At 41.7% G+C, this 23,942-nt stretch overlaps 1 protein-coding gene and 1 long non-coding RNA gene across 5 annotated transcripts in view; one reads left to right on the top strand and one right to left on the bottom strand.

Moving 5' to 3' along the window:
- Window positions 1-23,942, bottom strand: part of NCEH1 (neutral cholesterol ester hydrolase 1) — an 80,819-nt gene that overhangs the window by 22,546 nt on the left and 34,331 nt on the right. The gene's annotated exons all lie outside the window — the stretch shown is intronic.
- LOC124909457 (uncharacterized) lies at window positions 13,665-23,899 on the top strand. The gene is made up of 2 exons (XR_007096170.1): window positions 13,665-13,888; window positions 23,153-23,899. It is a non-coding gene; the product is annotated as an uncharacterized LOC124909457 (long non-coding RNA).

The raw sequence follows: 23,942 nt of genomic DNA on the forward strand, positions 1-23,942 counted from the left end.
AAGCGATTCTCCTGCCTTAGCCTCCCAAATAGCTGGGATTACAGATGCCTACCACCACACCTGGCTAATTTTTGTATTTTTTTTTTTTTTAGTAGATACAGGGTTTCACTATGTTGCCCAGGCTGGTCTTGAACTCCTGACCTGAAGTGATCCACCCGTCTTGGCCTCCCAAAGTGTTGGGATTACAGATGTTAGCTACTGCACCCAGCCTCCTGAAACCTCTTTAGAAGGAGCTGGGAAACTCCAGGAGAACACAGAAGCAAGCCAAATTTTAAGGGCCTAATGGGCTGTAAATTACTCCATCTTGGCTAAAGTAAGCTAGGGCAGTGCTAGAGGTCTTAAAACTTGCCTCCATAACCATTCCAGGATCTAGGGGAAGAATTCTGCCTAATGAGATGGAAGGGGATAAAGGGTACTCATTACGCCCCAGTGGAACCAGACAAAGAAATCCGGTGGGGCACTGGCTCCCTACCCAGGTCTGATGGCTGAAGATCAAAGGACAAACAAGAATCAAAGGAAACCAAGCAGAAACTGTGCTCTGTTTATGAATATATAAATTAGTTATGTTTATATATGGGGTTGGTCTCTGTTGACTAAGTCAACATAGAAATTATGAAGTATACCCTATGGGCAGAGAACTTTGTAGGGGAGAAAGAGAATCATCTGAAACTTAGAGTAATAGAGGAGAACCAAGGCTTGCAAATGAATAGCTGATGTTAGTTAGCTAAGCAGTAAGTGGTAAGAAAGGCCTAGATAAAGGGTTGCACAAGCTCAGAGAAGAAAGGAATTACCTCTGTCTGGGGATGAAATCCAGTAAGGTGTCTGGCCCTCAATTACATCTTAGATGATGTCCCATCATAGGTATGGCTAACAAGGAAAAGGGCTGGAACTAAGGTGCAAGTATTGGAAAGTGGTTTGTTTTTGTTGTTGTTGTTGTTCTGTTTTTTTTGTTTTTTTGTTTTTTTGTTTTTTTTTTTTTTTGAGACAGAGTCTCCCTTTGTTGCCAGGCTGGAGTGCAATGGCGCGATCTTGGCTCACTGCAACCTCCGACTCCCTGGTTCAAGCGATTTTCCTGCCTCAGTCTCCTGAGTAGCTGGGATTACAGGCACATGCCACCACGCCCAGCTAATTTTTGTATTTTTAGTAAAGACAAGGTTTCACTGTGCTGGCTAGGATGGTCTCGATCTCCTGACCTCATGATCCTCCCGCCTTGGCCTCCCAAAGTGCTGGGATTACAGGCGTGAGCCACCGTGCCCGGCCTGGAAAGTGTTTTAACTCAAAACACCTATGGGTAGGTAAGGTATACAAGCAAAATGGAGGCAAGAGGAGCATGGCAATAACAGGCTCAATCTAAAGGAGGCATGCGCAGCACAGAAGTCTGCAGCATATAATCCAGAGCCAGAGCACCTGGGCTAAAATCCCAGCTCCCTCACTTACCAGCACTGGGCCCCTGGGCAAATGACCAAACCTCTCTGTACCTCAATCTCCCATCCACAAAATGGAAGTAATTATACACATGACCTCAAAAGATTGTTGTGAAGACTGAAAACTAAGGCACCTAGAACAGTGCCTGTCACATAAGAAGCCCTTTATGAGTCAGTTATCACTGATATTACACCTCTGCTCCAGAAGATCATTGCGTAAAAAAGTGAGCCCAGCGACAGATATTCCAATGTTTCTAGGGAAGCTGAGACTATCGTTTTTCCTATTATGCACATTTGTTATTAGTTCCACATGGATTATCAAGTCCTGAAATTGTTGCAGGTTAAAAAAGATGTACAACAGTGATCTTTAAAAAGCTTATTTGTATGGTCATATTGAAGGGGAAGGAGGCAGCTGGGGAAGAACCAGCAGCACACTGATAACCCATACACATCAATGACTTCGCATCTGGTCAAGTTTCAACATGAACCAGCAACATTAACACTTAAAGCATCGATTCTAACTCACTACCTGATTCGTTCTTCACATTCAAAGGTTTGTATTCTATGTCAGTGACTCTCCAATTTTTCCACTACGGTCACTTCATTCAGTCCATCAGCTTTTTAATTCTCTTTATATTTTGCTCTAATTGTGTCTATTATAAGAAAAAATCTATAATCTCATGGAACATTTATTTATCTGCATGAAAATATGAGAATTTAATTAAAATATTAATGTTTAATGTTCAATTAAGAGATGGACCTTAAAGTAGAGGTATGGAACCAAGCCTAGGAGAGAAAAGACAGAGGCTGTCCAAAGAGACTGCCTGGACGCAGTACCAGCTGAGGTGAATTGAGTTTTAATGAAGTAAAGATTCAGATTCACTCAAGTAACCTGAAAGTAACAAAGTTTCCTGAAACCTCTTTAGAAGTAGCTGGGAAATCCAGGAACACACAGAATTGTGTTAAGGGCCCTGTGAGCTGCAAATTACCCTGTCTTGGCTAGCTGAAGTAATCTAGAACAGTTCTAGAGGTCTTAAAACTTGCCTCCATAACCATTCCAGGATCTAGGGGAAGAATTCCACCTAAGGAGATGGAAGGGGAATAAGGGTACTCATTACGCCTCAGTGGAACCGGACAGTAAAATCTGGTGGCGCACTGGCTCTGTACCCAGGTAGTTGGTTCATGTTGAAACTTGACCAGATGCTAAGTTATTTATGTGTATGGAGTATCAGTATGCTACTGGTTCTTCCCTAGCCTCCTGCTTCCCCTTTGATACATGATCAGAAGGCTGGAGAAGGAGAGAGAGTTGGGGAAAGGCAAACAGATGTTTCTGGTCACAGGGCGGTGTTCACGCTTTAGTCCTCTGCCCACCGCCCTGACCTAGTAAGAACAGAAAGAGAACCCACAAGGTATCAAAGTCCGCTTTCCTATTCTCAACTAGAATACAAGGTCAAAAACATATCTTCACTTGCTGAGGCCTGGATCTCTACTCCAACCCAACTCTGATCAAAGCACAGCGCTGAGCACCATTTCTGGGAGGATTTAGGCCACATGGTAAATTCCACCAGAGAGGGAAAGTTAATTTGCTCAGGTAAAGTTGAATAAAATTAAAAAATGGAAGCTTCAGAAACACCCTCACTTAAAGAGCTGGTGAGCAGGACAGGAAAAACCAATCAATAAAAGACAAAAAAGAACAAGAGAGGGAGTGAGAAAAAGAGAGAAAAGGGACAAATCGTTAGTGTGGCAACAGAAACAAGAAACTGGAGATATTAAGGGGGAAGAGATTTCAAGAAGGCAGGTTGTCAAATGTCTGCAGAGAGGCCAAGTAGATCATTGGTGTTGGCTATGGGTTCACTGGTGAACCTATTAAGGACAGTTTCATCCAAGATATGGGGCTGAAAATCATATTGTAATGGGTTGCAAAGTGAGCAGGAGTTGAAGAAAGAGAGAGAGTAAATGCAGGCAGATTACGTTCACTGTTTGTAGACATAAGGAAGGCACTAGAACAGTTGGGAGAGACTTGAACGTGCTTCTTGGGAAAGAGCTTGTCAAGAGAGAGACAAAGTTACAGAAGTAAAAGGAATTGAGTGAATTGAGATCCTAGAGGAAGGAGGACATAGGATCTGGAAAGCAGATGGAAGGGAGAATTCATAACAGGTAATTTATAGACGGCAAGGAGGCAAAGTGAGAAGATATATCTCTAAATAGAATTTGATTTCTGTGGATGTCAGTTCTGTCTTTGTCCTAAAGAAGATAGTGACTTTTTGGCTGGGCGCAGTGGCTCAGGCCTGTAATCCCAGCACTTTGGGAGGCCGAGGCAGGTGCATCATGAGGTCAGGAGATCAAGATCATCCTGGCCAACATGGTGAAACCCTGTCTGTACTAAAAAATACAAAAATTAGCCTGGCGTGGTGATGCGCGCCTGTAATCCCAGCTACTCGGGAGGCTGACGCAGGAGAATTGCTTGACACCGGGAGGCAGAGACTTGCAGTGAGCCAATATTGCACCACTGCACTCCAGCCTGGCAACAGAGTGAGACTCCGGCCAAAAAAAAAGACAGTGACTTTTCAAAGACTGCCCTCTTTGAAGGTAACCCATTGCAATCTGGCTTCAGCCCCATATGTCTGATGAAACTATCCATTAGGCTCACCAATGAACCCCTGACCCCAATGCCAATGCCGATGCCAATGACCCACTTGGCCTCACTGCAGACATTTGACAACTTGTGCTTTCTTGAAACTTTCTTCCCTCTTCTCCAGTTTCTTGTTTTTCTTGCCACACTAACAGTTCATCCCCCACTCCCCCCATTTTTATTTTCTTTTTGTCTTTTATTGATTGGTTCTTACACTCCTGACCACTGGCCCTTTAAATGATGATGTTCTCAAAAGTTCCATTTTTTATTTCATTCGACTTCACAATTCCTTCTTTCCTTGAGCAAGCCAATGTACTATCATGGCAAATAGGAAGTATTTACCAGCAGCCTACTAAATTCAAAGCCTATGACCTGTATTCATATACTGATTTCTAGTCCTTGATCTATCTTTCTCAAGCTTCCATACATATTTCCAAACATCTCCAGGATCTAGCCTACAAGCTCCTCAAAATTAATATGGCCTACTCTCCCTTCTCCACCCCTAGAGCAATTAACGACACAAATTCTCAATTATCTAACCATAAGTCTAACTTCTAAGCTAGAAACCTTACTATTGTCCTCAGCTTCTTCTCTCACATGATTTCCAATCACCTCATCAAACCCTATTAACTCCACCTGCCAACGTTTTCTGACCAAGTTCTACCCCAGCTCCACCCCCGCTCTCGTTGCTGCCTTGGCTAAGATGCTCATTATTTTCTGCACTTGCCTGCTAACTTGAATTCTAGATAACAGTCTTTCTCTATAACTTGCTGCATACTGCTGTCAGAGTTTCTACCCTGAAAGGCTGATCACATTACCTGCCTGCTTAAAAACTTCTGCTGACTTCCTGTTTCTTACAGGAAAAAAAGAAAAATCTAAAGTTGGCATTCCAGTCTGGTCCCACTCTACATTGGAACCTCATTTCTCACCACCCTACCCCTTGCAGTCAAGCATAACTTGCCTAACATTTTTCATTTTTTTAACCTGCCATTCTCTTTGGCAATGCCCTTCACTGGTATGCTGAAACCAGCTCTTGCTGGGTCTCACAAACCAAATGATAAATCTACAGGAATTTTGCAAGTCAGTTTGTCAGAGGTATGTGACCCAGAGCATCTCTGTCTTGAATAGGGGCTGGGTAAAATGAGGCTGAGACCTACTGGGCTGCATTCTCAGATGGTTAAGGCATTCTAAGTCACAGGATGAGACAGGAGGTCAGCACAAAACACAGGTCATAGAGACCTTGCTGATAAAACAGGTTGCAGTAAAGTAGCCGGATAAAACCCATCAAAACCAAGATGGCAATGAGAGTGACCTCTGGTGGTCCTCACTGCTACACTCCCACCAGCACCATGACAGTTTACAAATGCCACCGCAACATCAGGAAGTTACCCTGTATAATCTAAAAGGGGAGGCATGAATAATCTACCCTTGTTTAGCGCATAAGAAATAACCATAAAAATGGGCACCTGCTCAGGTTCCAGACCTTTGGTGGATCGCCATCTGGCTAGGGATTTTTCCTGTACCTGTCCTTCTTCCCTTATTTCTTTTACTCAGAATTATTTTTGTAGAGGAAACCTTTTGTCCCACATGAGGGCATGCATGGACCTAAAGGGTTCTATGTGGAGCACAGTGGCACCCTCTACACATAGCAAAGTATTGGACGGAATTATTAAGCCAACCTGTAAAGCACAAAATAAGTAGGCAATAGTAGGGTTCTCTCATTAGATTGCACAATTATAAAATTTCCAATTGTTTCCTCAAATATCCAGGAATTTCATGACAAGCTACAAAGCAAACCTAAGGAGAACCTTACTGCCACTACATAACAAAATCTAGCTCAGAGAAATAAAAGAGCTCACAGACGGATTTAACACTCTAACCCTGTCACCCTAAAACATTTGGTTTTTTTCCTCCCAGAAAACCTCTAGGGCTGCAGTTCAGTCTCAGGAAGGGCAAAAAGGATAAGGTTGTCTCTTTCCAATTCCAAAACTTTTTTTTTTTTTTTTTTTTTTTTTTTTTACTATCAACACAGAAAACAAGTAGTTTCCATATTGCCAAAATACTGGCTTAGCTCCAAAATCCTCCTATAGTCTACAGGATATGTCAAGGGCAGTAGCTCACGTGTGCTGACGTTTGCTCTCTGCTAGTCACTGTTCTCATTGTCAAGGAATCTCAGACCACGGGGGGTCAGTGAATCACCCAAGGTCACTCAGGCAGTAAATGGTGAACTGGATTTGAACCCAAGCATTCTGGCTCCAAAACCCTCAACCATCACCCTCTATTGCCATTCATGAGTGTAGGAGTTTGGTCAGGGTGGTGGGAAAAATTATAGAAGTTATAGAGAAAGACAAAAACCTTCTTGGAAGGCTGGGAGGTTTTGCAAAAGCTTTGAAAGATAATTTGGCTGAAGGCAGCCAAATTCTTTTATCGGGAGGCTGAGAGCAAAAGGCAGATTAACAAGCAAGTATAAAGGAATTGATCTGGTTAAGTTAGTTTACTTGGGCCTCAGAACCTGGCCTTTAATCATCTGTGCACAGGACTGCTCTCTCCAGGGGGACAACCATGTTAATTACTCACAAGATGTGTTGACTCAAAGTCATTAAATCTGTACTAAATAAATGCCTGTAGCACCAGCTTGTCAGGGCTGTGGCTGCTGACTCTTTATAGCACCCTCCTTGGTGTCTGTGAGTGGCCCGGTCCCCTAGCTGTGCAGCCAGGCAAAAAACCTGTGTCTGCACACATTTTTTCATCCGTTGCTCAGCCAGGGTCTGTGGGCCAGACCTGGCACATAAGTACATTTATTCTCAAACCTACATCATAAAACTAGAAGATTTTACATCTTAAATTAACATATAGCTTCACATATTTACCCAAAGGGAAACTAAGGCCCAGAAAGGATTTGTAACTCTCCTGGGCTCAGTGACTATGGCAGCATAGCTCTATGCTTGACCACTCTGGATCAAACAGCCACCCCCATCTTTCCCCTTTCCTTCAGCTCTTCCTCAACAGCACATCACTCTCTTGAGCCTTCCCTGGTAATAATACAGGAGTTATTAAAAAATAATTTTTAGGCAGATAGAGAGGAGTTCTTGGTAAGGCTTTTTCTTTTAATAAAAGCAACCCCTGAAGCATTTCTTTTTTTTTTTTTATACTTTAAGTTCTAGGGTACATGTGCACAACGTGCAAGTTTGTTACATATGTATACATGTGCCATGTTGGTGTGCTGCACCCATTAACTCGACATTTACATTAGGTGTTTCTCCTAATGCTATCCCTCCCCCCTCCCCACGACAGGCCCCAGTGTGTGATGCTCCCCACCCTGTGTCCAAGTGTGCTCATTGTTCAATTCCCATCTATGAGTGAGAACATGCAGTGTTTGGTTTTCTGTCCTTGCAACAGTTTGCTCAGAATGATGGTTTCCAGCTTCATCCATGTCCCTACAAAGGACATGAACTCATCATTTTTTATGGCTGCATAGTATTCCATGGTGTATATGCGCCACATTTTCTTAATCCAGTCTATCATTGATGGACATTTGGGTTGGTTCCAAGTCTTTGCTATTGTGAATAGTGCCACAATAAACATACATGTGCATGTGTCTTTATAGTAGCATGATTTATAATCCTTTGGGTATATACGCAGTAATGGGATTGCTGGGTCAAATGGTATTTCTAGTTCTAGATCCTTGAGGAATTGCCACACTGTCTTCCACAATGGTTGAACTAGTTTACACTTCCACCCACAGTGTAAAAGCATTCTTATTTCTCCACATCCTCTCCAGCACCTGTTGTTTCCTGACTTTGTGATGATTGCCATTCTAACTGGTGTGAGATGGTATCTCATTGTGGTTTTGATTTGCATTTCTCTGATGGCCAGTGATGATGAGCATTTTTTCCTGTGTCTGTTGGCTGCATAAATGTCTTACTGTGAGAAGTGTCTGTTGATATCCTTCACCCACTTTTTGATGGGATTGATTTTTTCTTGTAAATTTGTTTAAGTTCTTTGTAGATTCTGGATATTAGCCCTTTGTCAGATGGGAAGATTGTAAAAATTTTCTCCCATTCTGTAGGCTGCCTGTTCACTTTGATGGTAGTTTCTTTTGCTGTGCAGAAGCTCTTTAGTTTAATTAGATCCCATTTGTCTATTTTGGCTTTTGCTGCTATTGCTTTTGGTGTTTTAGTCATGAAGCCCTTGCCCATGCCTATGTCCCTGAATGGTATTGCCTAGGTTTTCTTCTAGGGTTTTTATGGTTTTAGGTCTCACATTTATGTCTTTAATACATCTTGAATTAATTTTTGTATAACATGTAAGGAAGGGATCCAGTTTCAGCTTTCTACATATGGCTAGCCAGTTTTCCCAGCACCATTTATTAAATAGGGAATCCTTTCCCCATTTCTTGTTTTTGTCAGGTTTGTCAAAGATCAGATAGTTGTAGATGTGTGGTATTATTTCTGAAGGCTCTGTTCTGTTCCATTGGTCTATATCTCCCTTTTGGTACCAGTACCATGCTGTTTTGGTTACTGTAGCCTTATAGTATAGTTTGAAGTCAGGTAGCATGATGCCTCCAGCTTTGTTCTTTTGGCTTAGGATTGTCTTGGCAATGCAGGCTCTTTTTTGGCTCCATATGAACTTTAAAGTATTTTTTTCCAATTCTGTGAAGAGTCATTGGTAGCTTGATGGGGATGGCATGGAATTTATAAATTTCCTTGGGCAGTATGGCCATTTTCACAATATTGATTCTTCCTATCCATGAGCATGGAATGTTCTTCCATTTGTTTGTGTCCTCTTTTATTTCATTGAGCAGTGGTTTGTAGTTCTCCTTGAAGAGGTCCTTCACATCCCTTGTAAGTTGGATTCCTAGGTATTTTATTCTCTTTGAAGCAACTGTGAATGGGAGTTCACTCATGATTTGCCTCTCTGTTTGTCTCTTATTGGTGTATAGGAATGCTTGTGATTTTTGCACATTGATTTTGTATCCTGAGACTTTGCTGAATTTGCTTATCAGCTTAAGGAGATTTTGGGCTGAGATGATGGGGTTTTCTAAATATACAATCATCTGCAAACAGGGACAATTTGACTTCCTCTTTTCCTAATTGAATACCCTGTATTTCTTTCTCATGCCTGATTGCCCTGGCCAGAACTTCCAACACTATGTTGAATAGGAGTGGTGAGAGAGGGCATCCCTCCTCTTGTGCCAGTTTTTAAAGGGAAAGCTTCCAGTTTTTGCCTATTCAGTATGGTATTGGCTGTGGGTTTGTCATACATAGCTCTTATTATTTTGAGTTATGTCCCACCAATACCTAGTTTATTGAGAGTTTTTAGCATGAAGGCTGTTGAATTTTGTCAAAGGCTTTTTCTGCATCTATTGAGATAATCATGTGGTTTTTGTCTTTGGTTCTGTTTATAAGATGGATTACATTTATTGATTTTCATATGTTGAACCAACCTTGCACCCCAGGGATGAAGCCAACTTGATCGTGGTGGATAAGCTTTTTGATGTGCTGCTGGATTCGGTTTGCCAGTATTTTATTGAGGATTTTTGCATCGATGTTCATCAGGGACATTGGCCTAAAATTCTCTTTTTTTGTTGTGTCTGCCAGACTTAGGTATCAGGATGATGCTGGCCTTATAAAATGAGTTAGGGAGGATTCCCTCTTTTTCTATGATTGGAATAGTTTCAGAAGGAATGGTACCAGCTCCTCTTTGTACCTCTGGTAGAATTTGGCTGTGAATCTGTCTGGCCCTGGAATTTTTTTGGTTGGTAGGCTATTAATTATTGCCTCAATTTCAGAACCTGTTATTGGTCTATTCAGGGATTCAACTTCTTCCTGGTTTAGTCTTGGGAGAGTGTATGTGTCCAGGAATTTATCCATTTCTTCTAGATTTTCTAGTTTATTTGCGTAGAGGTGTTCATAATATTCTCTGATGGTAGTTTGTATTTCTGTGGGATCGGTGGTGATATACCCTTTATCATTTTTTATTGCATCTATTTGATTCTTCTCTCTTTTCTTATTAGTCTTGCTAGCGGTCTATCAATTTTGTTGATCCTTTCAAAAAACCAGCTCCTGGATTCTTTGATTTCTTGAAGGGTTTTTTGTGTCTCTATCTCCTTCAGTTCTGCTATGATCTTAGTTATTTATTGCCTTCTGCTAGCTTTTGAATGTGTTTGCTCTTGCTTCTCTAGTTCTTTTAATTGTGATGTTAGGGTGTCAATTTTAGATCTTTCCTGCTTTCTCTTGTGGGCATTTAGTGCATAAATTTACTTCTACACACTGCTTTAAATGTGTCCCAGAGATTCTGGTATGTCATGTCTTTGTTCTCGTTGGTTTCAAAGAACATCTTTATTTCTGCCTTCATTTCCTTATTTACCCAGTAGTAATTCAGGAGCAGGTTGTTCAGTTTCCATGTAGTTGAGTAGTTTTGAGTGAGTTTCTTAATCCTGAGTTCTAATTTGATTGCACTGTGGTCTGAGAGACAGTTTGTTATAATTTCTGTTCTTTTACATTTGCTGAGGAGAGCTTTACTTCCAACCATGTGGTCAATTTTGGAATGAGTGCAATGTGGTGCTGAGAAGAATGTATATTCTGTTGATTTGGGATGGAGAGTTCTGTAGATGTCTATTAGGTCTGCTTGGTGTAGAGCTGAGTTCAAGTCCTGGATATTTTTATTAACTTTCTGCCTCGTTGATCTGTCTAATGTTGACAGTAGGGTGTTAAAGTCTCCCAATATTATTGTTTGGGAGTCTAAGTCTCTTTATAGGTCTCTAAGGACTTGCTTTATGAATCTGGGTGCTCCTGTATTGGGTGCATATATATTTAGGATAGTTAGCACTTCTTGTTGAATTGATCCCTTTACCATTATGTAATGGCCTTCTTTGTCTCTTTTGATCTTTGTTGGTTTAAAGTCTCTTTTATCAGAGACTAGGATTGCAACCCCTGCTTTTTTTTGTTTTCCATTTGCTTGGTAGATCTTCCTCCATCCCTTTATTTTGAGCCTATGTGTGTCTCTGCATGTGAGATGGGTCTCCTGAATACAGCACACTGATGGGTCTTGATTTATCTGATTTGCTAGTCTGTGTCTTTTAATTGGGGCATTTAGCCCATTTACATTTAAGGCTAATATTCTTATGTGTGAATTTGATCCTGTCATTATGATATTAGCTGGTTATTTTGCTCGTTAGTTGATGCAGTTTCTTCCTAGCCTCGATGGTCTTTACAATTTGGCATGTTTTTGCAGTGGCTGGTACCAGTTGTTCCTTTCCATGTTTAGTGCTTCCTTCAGGAGCTCTTGTAAGGCAGGCCTACTGGTGACAAAAATCTCTCAGCATTTGCTTGTCTGTAAAGGATTTTATTTCTCCTTCACTTATGAAGCTTAGTTTGGCTGGATATGAAATTCTGGGTTGAAAATTCTTTTCTTTAAGAATGTTGAATATTGGCCCCCACTCTCGTCTGGCTTGTAGAGTTTCTGCAGAGAGATCCACTATTGGTCGGATGGGCTTCCCTTTGTACGTAACCTGACCTTTCTCTCTGGCTGCGCTTGACATTTTTTTCTTCATTTCAACCTTGGTGAATCTGACAATTATGTGTCTTGGGGTTGCTCTTCACGAGGAGTATCTTTGTGGCATTCTCTGTGTTTCCTGAATTTGAATGTTGGCCTGCCCTGCTAGGTTGGGGAAGTTCTCCTGGATAATATCCTGCAGAGTGTTTTCCAACTTGGTTCCATTCTCCCCGTCACTTTCAGGTACACCAATCAAAAGTAGATTTGGTCTTTTCACATAGTCCCATATTTCTTGGAGGCTTTGTTTGTCTCTTTACTCTTTTTTCTCTAAACTTCTCTTCTTGCTTCATTTCATTCATTTGATCTTCAATCACTGACCCCCTTCTTCCACTTGATCGAATCGGCTACTGAAGCTTGTGCATGTGTCACGTAGTTCTCGTGCCATGGTTTTCAGCTCCATCAGGTCATTTAAGGTCTCCTCTATGCTGTTTATTCTAGTTAGCCATTTGTCTAATCTTTTTTCTAGGTTTTTAGCTTCTTTGTGATGGGTTCGAACATCCTCCTTTAGCTGGGAGAAGTTTGTCATTACCGATTTTCTGAAGCCTAATTCTGTCAACTCATCAAAGTCATTCCCCATCCAGCTTTGTTCCGTTGCTGGCGAGGCGCTGTGATCCTTTGGTGTAGATGAGGCACTCTGATTTTTAGAATTTTCAGCTTTTCTGCTCTGGTTTCTCCCCATCTTTGTGATTTTATCTACCTTTGGTCTTTGATGATGGTGACCTACAGATGGGGTTTTGGTGTGGATGTCTTTTTTGTTGATGTTGATGCTATTCCTTTCTGTTTGTTAGTTTTCCTCCTAACAGTCAGGACCCTCAGCTGCAGGTCTGTTGGAGTTCGCTGGAGGTCCACTCCAGACCTTGTTTGCCTGGGTATCACCAGCAGAGGCTGCAGAACAGCAAAGATTGCAGAACAGTAAATGTTGCTGCCTGATCCTTCCTCTGGAAGCTTTGTCTCAGAGGGGCACCTGGCTGTATGAGGTGTCAGTTGGCCCCCACTGGGAGGTGCCTCCCAGTTAGGCTACTGAGGGGTCAGGGACCCACTTGAGGAGGCAGTCTGTCCGTTCTCAGATCTCAAACTCCATGCTGGGACAACCACTACTCTCTTCAAAGCTGTCAGACAGGGATGTTTAAGTCTGCAGAAGTTTCTGCTGCCTTTTGTTCAGCTATGCCCTGCCCCCAGAGGTGGAGTCTACAGAGGCAGGCAGGCCTCGTTGAGCTGTGGTGGGCTCCACCCAGTTCGAGCTTCCTGGCCACTTTGTTTACCTCATCAAGCCTCAGCAATGGTGGACACCCCTCCCCCAGCCTTGCTGCTGCCTCGCAGTTTGATCTTGGACTGCTGTGCTAGCAGTGAGCAAGGCTCCATGGGTGTCGGACCCGCCGAGCCATGCGCGGGATATAATCTCCTGGTCTGCCATTTGCTAAGACCACTGGAAAAGCACAGTATTAGGGTGGGAATGTCCCGATTTTCCAGGTACCATCTGTCACAGCTTCCCTTGGCTAGGAAAGGGAATTCCCCGACCCCTTGTGCTTCCCGGGTGAGGCGATGCCCCACCCTGCTTTGGCTCACACTCCGTGGCTGCACCCACTGTCCAACAAGTCCCAGTGAGATGAACCCAGTGCCTCAGTTGGAAATGCAGAAATCACCCATCTTCTGTGTCACTCATGCTGGGAGCTGTAGACTGGAGCTGCTTCTATTCTTGGAACCCAAGCCATTTCTTTTCTAACAGAAAAACGACTTGAAGGGCCAGTCTGGCAAGCTTTGATATGCAAATGCTGGCTATTAGAAATTGTCCACCCAATATGGCAACTCCTGCCTTCTTCTTCCTGTCCCGGTGTGTGCCACGTGTCATGGCTGCCTCCGGATAACACCATGTGTTCAGAACATCATGGCAACCTGCATTTGCATATTAAAGGGCTAAGGTGGGTGGACCAGGTGTTTTGCAGGCTACATAAATGACACACCTGGTCAAACCAATCCCCTGGGCCCTATGCAAACCAGACACTGCCCCCTGCAGCATCCCAATATAAGCAACCACTTTTCTGCCACACACCAAGTTTCTGTTTGTTCTAATCCCCCCTCCCTCTGTCTCTGTATGGGGGAGCTGTTTTCTTCTTCCTTCCTTCTTGCCTAATAAACTCTCCACTCCTTAAAACCATTACATGTGTGTCTGTGTCATTTTATCTAAACTGGTGCGAGACCAAGGACCCTGGTGTTCCTCCAGTCATCGGAGCCGTATCATTTTGGTGCATTGGCCAGGAATTCATTCATCGGAGCGGTGAGTATGGAGCAAATCTCAATCTCAGATCTGTCCTTTAATCTCAAGGCTGTCTGCCGGCTATCCTGTTGCAAAACCTTCCTTCTTTCCTGGTTTCTCTGTCTGCGATCTCTTACTTTCTGTGTGTTGAATGTGTGGGAATTTTTACAGCCTAGAGAAGTAATCCTGTTAGGCAAGATCAGGAAATGCTGTAGACCTGGGATATAGCTCAGGAAAATGCCATTGCAACCTTCTAGGAACAGAGTTCTCCCCTTTTCCACCTCCAACAGTGAGATTACCGGCTAGTAATCCTCTGGCGAGCCCAAGGTATTTCTAAGCCAACAGCGCCGCCTAGTGGAAATAGAAATCCTCTTCATAGGACATATTGCTGGTCCTTTGCTGTACACTGCAATCTCCTTTCACACCACTAAAAATCAGGCTCTAGGCTACTTGTGTAAACAGGAGAGCTCTGTTTTCAACAGTTAGGAGTAAGATGTCTTCTGTGGCCAAATTTTAGTCTCAATGCGTCCCATCAGCAGGGAAAACGGCCATTCGGTTCCTATGTATTTTTAAGGCACCTACTCTGTCTCCAAGACAGTACTTAATTAGTAAGGGGATTTTAAGTACGGAAGTTAACCAGAACCATTTTTCTAGGAGTAAATGCTTTAGCACGGGGCATAATAGCAGGCAATCTAGCACACTACCTCCATTAAAGGAGCCTTGCTCAAAGACGACACAGTCTCTCTGGAGATACGTTTTTTGGGGAGCCAGGCAGATCACACAGGTTTAGGAAGTCAAAGGGAAATCACAGAAGGTGGATGACCTAAGGTTGCGCAGTAAAGCACGGTTAGTCCCATCACTTAGTTTATCCAGTTCCATGGCTTGGAGGACCATGTCTTCAACCATGGGCGGCATATTTAACTTGGTGGCAGAACCCAGGAACCAGGGAGGGAAAACAGTCGAACACTCCCTGTCTTTTCCTCCACCCTAGGTCATACGGAAAGGAAGGAGACTAAGAGGATGCTTTTATTCTCACTTCTTTTTCTAGATGGGTAACAGATTTTCTTCAGCTTGCACCCCTCTGGAGTGCACTCTACAGCACTGGAACACTTCCTTAACCTAAGGACTTTAAAGAGAAAAGCAACTCATTTTCTTTTATACAAGGGCATGGCATTTTTACTAAACCTTTGCCAAGCACTGTAAGATCAACCCAGCTCTTTTAGCAATCATATTGGGCAGTCCCAGGGAAAACAGTTCCCCAAAAGTTAAAGAAGCAACTTCCAGGGAACCATTTGAGGATCCCCCTTATTTGGGCCCCCTTCAAGTTCCCGTCTCATAACAAAACCTTAGGCAAATAAAAGATGACTTAGGCCAATTTTCTAACAACCATGATTGGTACATAAAAGCTTTCCAAAATTTAACTCAGGTATTTCACCTCACATGCAGGGATGTTACTCTCCTCCTAAACCAGACCCTCACTGCAGTTGAAGAGCAGGTAGCTCTGTAAGCAGCAGATAATTTCAGAGATGAGCAATATATCTCCTATAATACACCAAAAGGGAAGAAAGCAGGTAGGGAAAGTGAAAAAATATCAGAAACACCATTCCCAATAGGGAGGGAAGCAGTTTCAGTAAATAACCCTAACTGGAACACCAATAAGCTCAGGAAACAAATGGAAAAGGAAGCATTTTTTTTTTTTTTTTTTTTTTTTTTGAGAGAGTCTCGCTCTGTTGCCCAGGCTGGAGTGCAATGGCACAATCTCGGCTCACTACAAGCTCCGCCTCCCAGGTTCAAGCGATTCTCCTGCCTCAGCCTCCTGAGTAGCTGGGACTACAGGCACCTGCCACCACACCTGGCTAATTTTTGTATTTTTAGTTTACAAAAGAGTAGTTTCTTCTCTCTCCGACTGGAATATTACCGTGATGACTATAGCTTCAGCCTTCATCAGCAACCGTGAGGAAAAGACAGAGGCCTTGGGTCTAATATCTTTGAGACACTGAATTGACACCAATGCTTTCATTCGACTTCTCATTTTGTGAGAAAAATATTTAAAGAAGTATCTGGAGAAGTCCACTGTTAACGTGTTTTCTGTTACATGCAGGAAAACATAAAACTCTAATTGATACTAGGTAGATATAGAGAATGCACAGACATATATATTTTCCCCCCAGAAGGCAGAGCGTGAGCAAGCTAAATATAGCTAGGTATTAGGTCAGTATGATGAAAAATGTAATGATGGAGCTTTACAAAAACTGAATGGGCTGGCTAAAAACATAGCGACTCCTGTACTAGCCTCTCAAGTAGCTGGGACTACAGGCGCATGCCACCACACCCAGCTAATTTTTGTATTTTTAGTATACAAAAGAGTAGTTTCTTCTCTCTCCAACTGGAATATTACCATTATGGCTATAGCTTCGGCCTTCATCAGCAACCATGAGGAAAAGACAGAGGCCTTGGGTCTAATGTCTTTGAGACACTGAATTAACACCAACGTTTTGATTCAACTTCTCATTTTGTGAGAAAAATATTTAAAGAAATGTTTGGAGAAGTCCACTGTTCGTGTGGGCAGGGCAACACGCCAGCTACACTAAATGAGATCTGCCTAGGAAGCAGTGGAAAAAAATTATGTGAACTCCTAAGGGTTATTCCTTTAAACTCTAAGATGCTATGGCTGAACTTTTTTTAGAGTAATTGTATTTGCCTATTTCATGTTATGAGAGGAATTTGCCCTAAGGAAGTAGAACTATTTTAGCTCAGAATGGTAATATTTCTTCTAAAACTTATTAGGAAACTAGAAGGAATGTTTTGTGGATGTAGTTTTCCTAAAGGTCATGCAGAACTTCCAGGTATTAACAGATTTTGAAAGATGAATAATAGCCATTTTAGTGGTTATTTATTTTTTTGACATGGAGTCACCCAGGCTGGAGGGCAGTGGCACAATCTCGGCTCACTGCAACCTCCGCCTCCTGGGTTCAAGTGATTCTCCTGCTTCAGCCTCCTGAGTAGCTGGGATTACAGGCACCTGCCACCACACCCAACTAATTTTTGTATTTTTAGTAGAGATGGGGTTTCGCCATCTTGGCCAGGCTAGTCTTGATCTCCTGACCTCACGTGATCCACCTGCCTTGGCCTCCCAAAGGGCTGGGATTACAGGTGTGAGCCACTGTGTCCAGCTCATATCATTTTCAAAGGACTTGTGTAGCATACAGAATGGTTTCTAAATAATATCATCCATAATATTAGTTGATAGTCCATAATTCTAAATCCAGCATTTTTCAAAGCATTACCAATGAACAGGAACTTTTAAGATAAAGCTAAATATAGAAAAATAAGAAAAGTGAATTACTATAAATTACTATTCATATTATAATTTGAAATTTTGTTAATATTGTCTAAGACAAATCATCCTTTTGGGATAGTTTTTTTCACACTGTTCAAACTACCCTTCATCCTATAACGGCAGACATGACCTAATGATTCTCATTTTTAATCAACAGTGTTGTCAGACATTTCAATGATTCTGAACATAATATTATGACATTCAGGGCCAGAGAGCAAGCATTCTCTACTTGCTCTCAGCTGAAAGCAAAGAGGTTCTCAAGAGCTGTCAGCCTTTCTCCTTTATGTTCTGAAAGCCTCCTAAACTTGTCAGTTTACTTCCATTACACTTTTATTGAAAACAATGAAAGAAAAAAGTTACTACAGCGTTTATACTTTTAAAGTGAATGTCTTTTCTAATAAGGTAGAAATATCACAGAACCATTGAATGTTGGAATCAGAAGCATGTTTGGGATATCATCAAGTACAATAGCCACATCCTGACTATGAGGAAAGCTGGAGGGGCTAAAGGACCTCTCAAAGCTACACATGTAGAGTCAGCAGCAGAGCAGAGCTTAAAGCAGCAAGGGACTCTTACGGCCATCAGTAATCACACTCTTGCTTAACATGCAAATGAATAAAGCTATTTTTATAAAATCCTCCCCATATATTGGCAGTAACTCTAAATTCTAGTCATTTTTTAACCATTAGAGAATAACATTAGAAGCATCAGTAGTTAATGGTAATAATAATTTCCGTTTTATATGGGGTTTTATGGTTCACAAATATATTTTATAAAATAAGTTTCTAATATTTCATTTTCTTATATTGAGGGCTTTTAAAAGAACCAAAAACCTATTTTATGAAAATTTCATATTTAAAATTATAGTTGAGAATAATGGAAGATTTTTCCCATTATCTTTGCTCTCCTAGATAGTAACCAGATAAATGACTTCCCAGAGAAATGCATAGTCATATAAGATAAAACGTCTTTTTCTCTCCATTTTACTCAGAGTTTGATGATGAACTATGACTGGATATTGAAATAATCATTCTTTTATCCTTTGTAGTAAGGCTTACTTTGTCCAGTGGCAACATGATCAGACAAGCAGCTCTCAGATGACATGTGACAATATTAAATTCAATCTTAGCAAGCAGCTTCTCAATTTCACACTTGTGGTAGCTGGATTAACCCAATTATTTTTTGGAGGTTAAGGGAAACTTTTACATTTGCAGAATACCATCCTTCAGAAACCAGAAAGTAGGATTTCGTTAACTCAAAGAATTTTATGGAGATGGAAAGATCAGTTGGTATTTATTAAATTTTAGCACAGAATCAGATGGAGGGTTTAGGAAGAAGTAGATATGATTACCTAATAATTCACTTTGAGTTCTTCACTTTGATCCTCAAAAATGTGTGAAACTTGGGACTTTTACTTAGCATACCTTTCGGGTAAAATATTTTCATTGTACCAGTTCCAGGCTCTTGGTTCTAGCACAAAACCGCTGCTACACACACATACACATACACACACACACACACACACACATATATAGATATATATACAAATATATATATATGCTACCTATATATACACCTGCTACATGTGTGTATATATATTTACACATGCACATATCAGGTGTGTATAAATGTAGCATGTATATATACATACACACATGCACACAGGCACACACATACTTGTTACATATATAATTACACATGCACATATCAGGTGTATATAAATGTAGCATGTATATATACATACACACATGCACACAGGCACACACATACTTGTTACATATAGTCAGGTGCTGCATGATGACATTTTGCTCAAGAACAGATCACATATATGAGGGTGGTTCCATAGATTATGATGGAGCTGGAAAACTCTTATAACCTAGTGGCATTGTTGTCATTGTGACATTGTAGTGCAATTACTTAATTTTTAAAACAAATTTAGTGTAACCTAAGTGTACAGTATTTATAAGGCCTACAGTAATGCATAGTAATGTCCTAGGCCTTCACATTTGCTTACTACTCATTCACTGATTCACCCAGAGCAAATTCTACTCCTGCAAGCTCCACGGTAAGTGCCTTACACAGGGGTAGCATTTTTTAATCTTTTGTATCATATTTTGCTGTACCTTTTCTATGTTTAGATATACAAATACTTACCATTACATTGTAATTGCCTACAGTGCTGAGTACCAAGTTTCACCAAGTATTAGATCTACAAATACTTACCACTGCATTATAATTGCCTACATGTTGAGTACCGTTTCACCAAGTTGGACAGGCTAGTTTCAAACGCCCGACCTCAGGTGATCTGCCTGCCTTAGCCTCCCAAAGTGCTGGAATTACAGTGAGAGCCACCGCACCTGGCCAGGAAGCCCTTTTTAATACGCGTTTTAGAAGGCCTATGGAAAACCAGGGCCAAACCTCTCAATTACTCTAAACTGTCTATAATAGACCAAAAGCCAGATGAGAATCCTGTGGCCTTTATAGAAAGGCTGATAGAGGCACTAATAGAACACTCTTCCTTTTATCCCCTGATTCAGTGGAGAGACAGCTCATCCTGAAGGACAGTTTTATTACACAGGCAGCTCCCAATATTAGAAGAAAACTACAGAAGCAAGCTATGGGACCAAATAGCACCTTAGAGAACCTCCTGAAGGGGGCCACTTCGGTCTTTTATAATAGGGACCAGGAGGAGGCCCAAAAGAAAGAGAGAAAGCTCAGGGGAAGGACAAAGGCTCTAGCAGCAGCTTTGCAGGCTGGCAAAGTCCAGGAGCCCCAAGATGCATCCATTAGTTGCTATCAGTGTGGCAGGCCAGGGTATTTTAAAGAGGAATGCCCAGGCAGCAAGACGAAGCCACCTCAACCCTGTCCATCCAGTGGCAAAAACCAGTGGAGACAGAACTGTCCCCAGATATGGAGGTCACTGGGTTCAGAGCCAGTCTCACAGATGGTCCCACAGGACTGATGGGTCCTGGGGCCCAAACCTCAGCTCCAGCAGCTCAAACTGCCATCATAGCATAGGAGCCCCAGGTGATACTGGACATTGAAGAAAAGGAAGCAGACCTCCTTCTAAACACTAGACCCAGTCTCTCTCTTTTCTCCTCTCTAAGCCAGGCCTCCTCTCTTCCTATAGCGCAACTATAAGGGGCATTTCAAGAAAAACTCTAATCCAATATTTTTCTCAACCTTAGTTGTGGTTAGGAGGACCTATTTACAAATGCTTCCAAGCCATTGTCATAGTAGCTCTACTAGTCAGAAAAGCCTCCTAGTTAACCCTAGGAAATAATTTAACTGTTTACACCCCACATAATGTGGCAGGATCACTGTCCTCTAGGGGGAGCTCTTAGCCGGCAAACAGCCAGTGAAGCAAGAGGTACATAAAGCAGGAGAGGCAGTAGTCACTCTCCCCAAACACAAGCGCTCAATTGGCTGAGCTAAGAGCTCTTACAAGAGCACCTAAATTAAGCAAGGGAAAGGTGGCTAACATTTATACTGACTCCAAGTATGCTTTCCTGATTTTCCATGCTCATGCTGCCATTTGAAAGGAAAGGCATTTTCTTAACACTAATATATCTCCTATAAAATATTACCAGGAAATTAGCAGGTTATCCTCAGTTTTTCTTTCATGAGAGACAGCAGGGATGTATTGTAGGGAACACTGAAAGGGAACAGATAAGGTAGCAGAAGGAAACAGATTAGCTGATCAGGCAGCCAAGTCAAAGGCAAGGAAGCCTCAAGGCACTAACACACTTTGAGCCCTTCTAATCTAGGAGGGCTCCATTTTAAAAGAAATTAAACCTCAGTATTCCTCTGCAGAAACAGAATAGGCCACTTCTCAGCCGCATACTTTTCAGCCCTCAGGACGGCGACAGTCAGGATGGCAAACTCTATTTGCCAGCCTGCAGCCGATGAAAGTCCTTAAAATCCTTCACCGAGCTTTTTACTTGGGAATGGATAAAACTTACCAATGTGTTCAGAGATTTCTTTTCAGGCAGAAAAGCTCTAAATTGGTTAAGCATGTAACCTCTCTAAGCTCACTTCCCACAAGAATTAACACAACCAGCAGAAGCCCAACCCCAGGAAATAAAACCTTTATTTAACCCAAGAAATGTGGTATTAATAGAACATCTTAAGTTGAAAATTATAAAAGATAAGTGAGTAGGCTGAGCACATTGGCTCACGCCTGTAATCCCAGCACTTTGGGAGGACGAGGCAGGCAGATCACGAGGTCAGGAGTTCAAGACCAGCCTGGCCAACATGGTGAAACCCTGTCTCTACTAAAGATACCAAAGAAAATTAGCCGGGTGTGGTGGCACGTGCCGTAATCCCAGCTACTCAGGAGGCTGAGGCAGAAGAATCGCTTGAACCCGGGAGGCGGAGGTTGCAGTGAGTGGAGATCGCGCCACTGCACTCCAGCCTCGGCGACTGGGAGAGACTCTGTCTCCAAAAAAAAAAAAAAAAAAAAAAAGTGAGGGCTACTCATCTTACTCAGTCCCACCTTTACCCCAACAGATACTTTTTTTCATTTCTATCCTTTCCTGTCAAAATTTGCTACCAAATAGTAGAACTTCTTTTTAACGCATTATTTACAGGGAAATTTTAATTATACATGGGATTGCATTTGTAACTTTGTAAATCCCCAGAGGGAAATGTTATATCTTGGCAAGTAAAATTTTCAATGAAAATTATTTACTATGCCACTCTTGTGGAAATTGTTACAGTTACGCTACTATTCGCAATAGAACTATACACTGTGGCACCCACAATGTGGAATTCTGGTTGTAAAATTCTAATTGCCATAATATTTTGCCTGATTATCATCCTTATAACAGGATTAATTGCAGGAAAAATTTAGTCAAAGTTGTTTTACTTATAGCAGGAGTAATAGTTACGGATAAAAAGCAAACATAGAAGTTTTACTATCATTACGTTTAATAGGACTTTTTACTAAAGGTTGGTAATATAATGCACTCTAAGCTATGAAAAAAAGGTTATAAAGAAATACATTTTATATAAGAAAGGATTTTGTGGCCAGGTGCGATGGCTCATGCCTATAATCCCGGCACCTTGGGAGGCCGAGGCGGGCGGATCACTTGAGATCAGGAGTTCGAGACCAGCCTGGCCAACATGGTGAAACCCCAGCTCTACCAAAAATATAAAAGCTAGCTGTGTGGTGCCTGTAATCCCAGCTACTCAGGGGAGGCTGAGACAGAAGAATTGCTTGAACGTGGGAGGTGGAGGCTGCAGTGAACTGAGATCACACCACTGCACTCCAGCCTGGGTGACAGAGCAAGATCCTGTCTCAAATAAATAAATAAATAAATAAATAAATAAATAAATAAATGATTTTGTGAGTTGATGGGTGCAGCAAACCAACATGGCTCATGTATACCTATGTAACAAACCTGCACATTGTGCACAAGTATAATTTTTAAAAAATTTTACAAAAAAAAAAAGGATTTTGTATGGTAAATACTTGTCATAAAAGGAAATGACTGGTTTTTTAAAGGAAGGATGTTTAGAATGAGTCAGAAAAATGTATGTTGTAAGAGAGTCTGTGAAAATCATGAAAAAATTTAATCATTAAAGGAAAGGAATTGTCAAAATTAATGCTAAAGTTACTTTAGACATCCAATAACGTATTTCTCTCAATCATACTGCAAGTTATAAAAATGGCCTAAGCCTAAAGTTATTCTCTAATGGCAAGTCAAGGGAGAAATGCATGCTGTTCTCAAGGAAAATGTTACTTTTATGTTAACGTTTCTGGTAATGTACAGCGACATCTAGTGTAGACAATCCAGTATTGCAATCCATTGGTGTAACTAATAGGTACCAAACTCTAAGTCAGTTATGGTCTACAGGACCCCCACTGATGGTGGTAATCTTAATGCTCTTATTCTAACACTATATTTTAAACCTTCTTGTAAAACGTATCTCTTTTCGCCTAGAAGCAATTAAACTCCAAATGGTACTGCAAGCAGAACCACACATGGACACGCCATTCTTCCAAGAATCCTTAAATCAACCTCAGGAGAAGGCCCAACTGCTGCTCCCCTGCATGCTCCTTTTCAGCAGGAAGTGGCCACAAAGAATCATCGTCCAACACCCCCTAACAGCAGTTAGGTTTGCTTCTCTTGAGGGGGGAAATAATACAGGTGTTACTTAAAAAAGTTTTTTTAGGCAGAGAGAGAGGCTAAAAGGAGTTCTTGGTAAGGCTTTTTCTGTTAATAAAAGCAAACCCCGAACCATTTCTTTTCTAACAGAAAAACCGCTTGAAGGGCCGGGCCAGGAAGCTTTGATACGCAAATGCCGCCCGTTAGAAATGGTCCACCCAATATGGCGACTCCTGCCTTCTTCTTGTCACCATGTGTGCCAAGTGTCATGGCTACCTCCAGATAATACCATGTGTTCAGAACATCATGGCGATCCGTATTTGCATATTAAAGAGCTAAGGTGGGAAATTTCGCCAGGTTTTTCACAGGCAATGTAAATAACATACCTGGTCAAACCAATCCCCTGGGCCCTATGCAAACCAGACACCACCTCCTCCAGCATCCCAATATAAGCAACCACTTTTCCTGCCACACACGGGGTTTCTCGTCGTTCGAATCCCCCCTCCCTTTGTCTCTGTACCGGGGAGCTGTTTTCTTCCTTGCTTCTCTCTTGCCTAATAAACTCTCCGCTCCTTAAAACTACTCCACACGTGTCTGTGTCATTTTATCTAAACTGGCGCGAGAC

The sequence above is a fragment of the Homo sapiens genome, chromosome 3 (assembly GCF_000001405.40).
Source record: "Homo sapiens chromosome 3, GRCh38.p14 Primary Assembly".
Taxonomy (NCBI): Eukaryota; Metazoa; Chordata; class Mammalia; order Primates; family Hominidae; genus Homo; species Homo sapiens.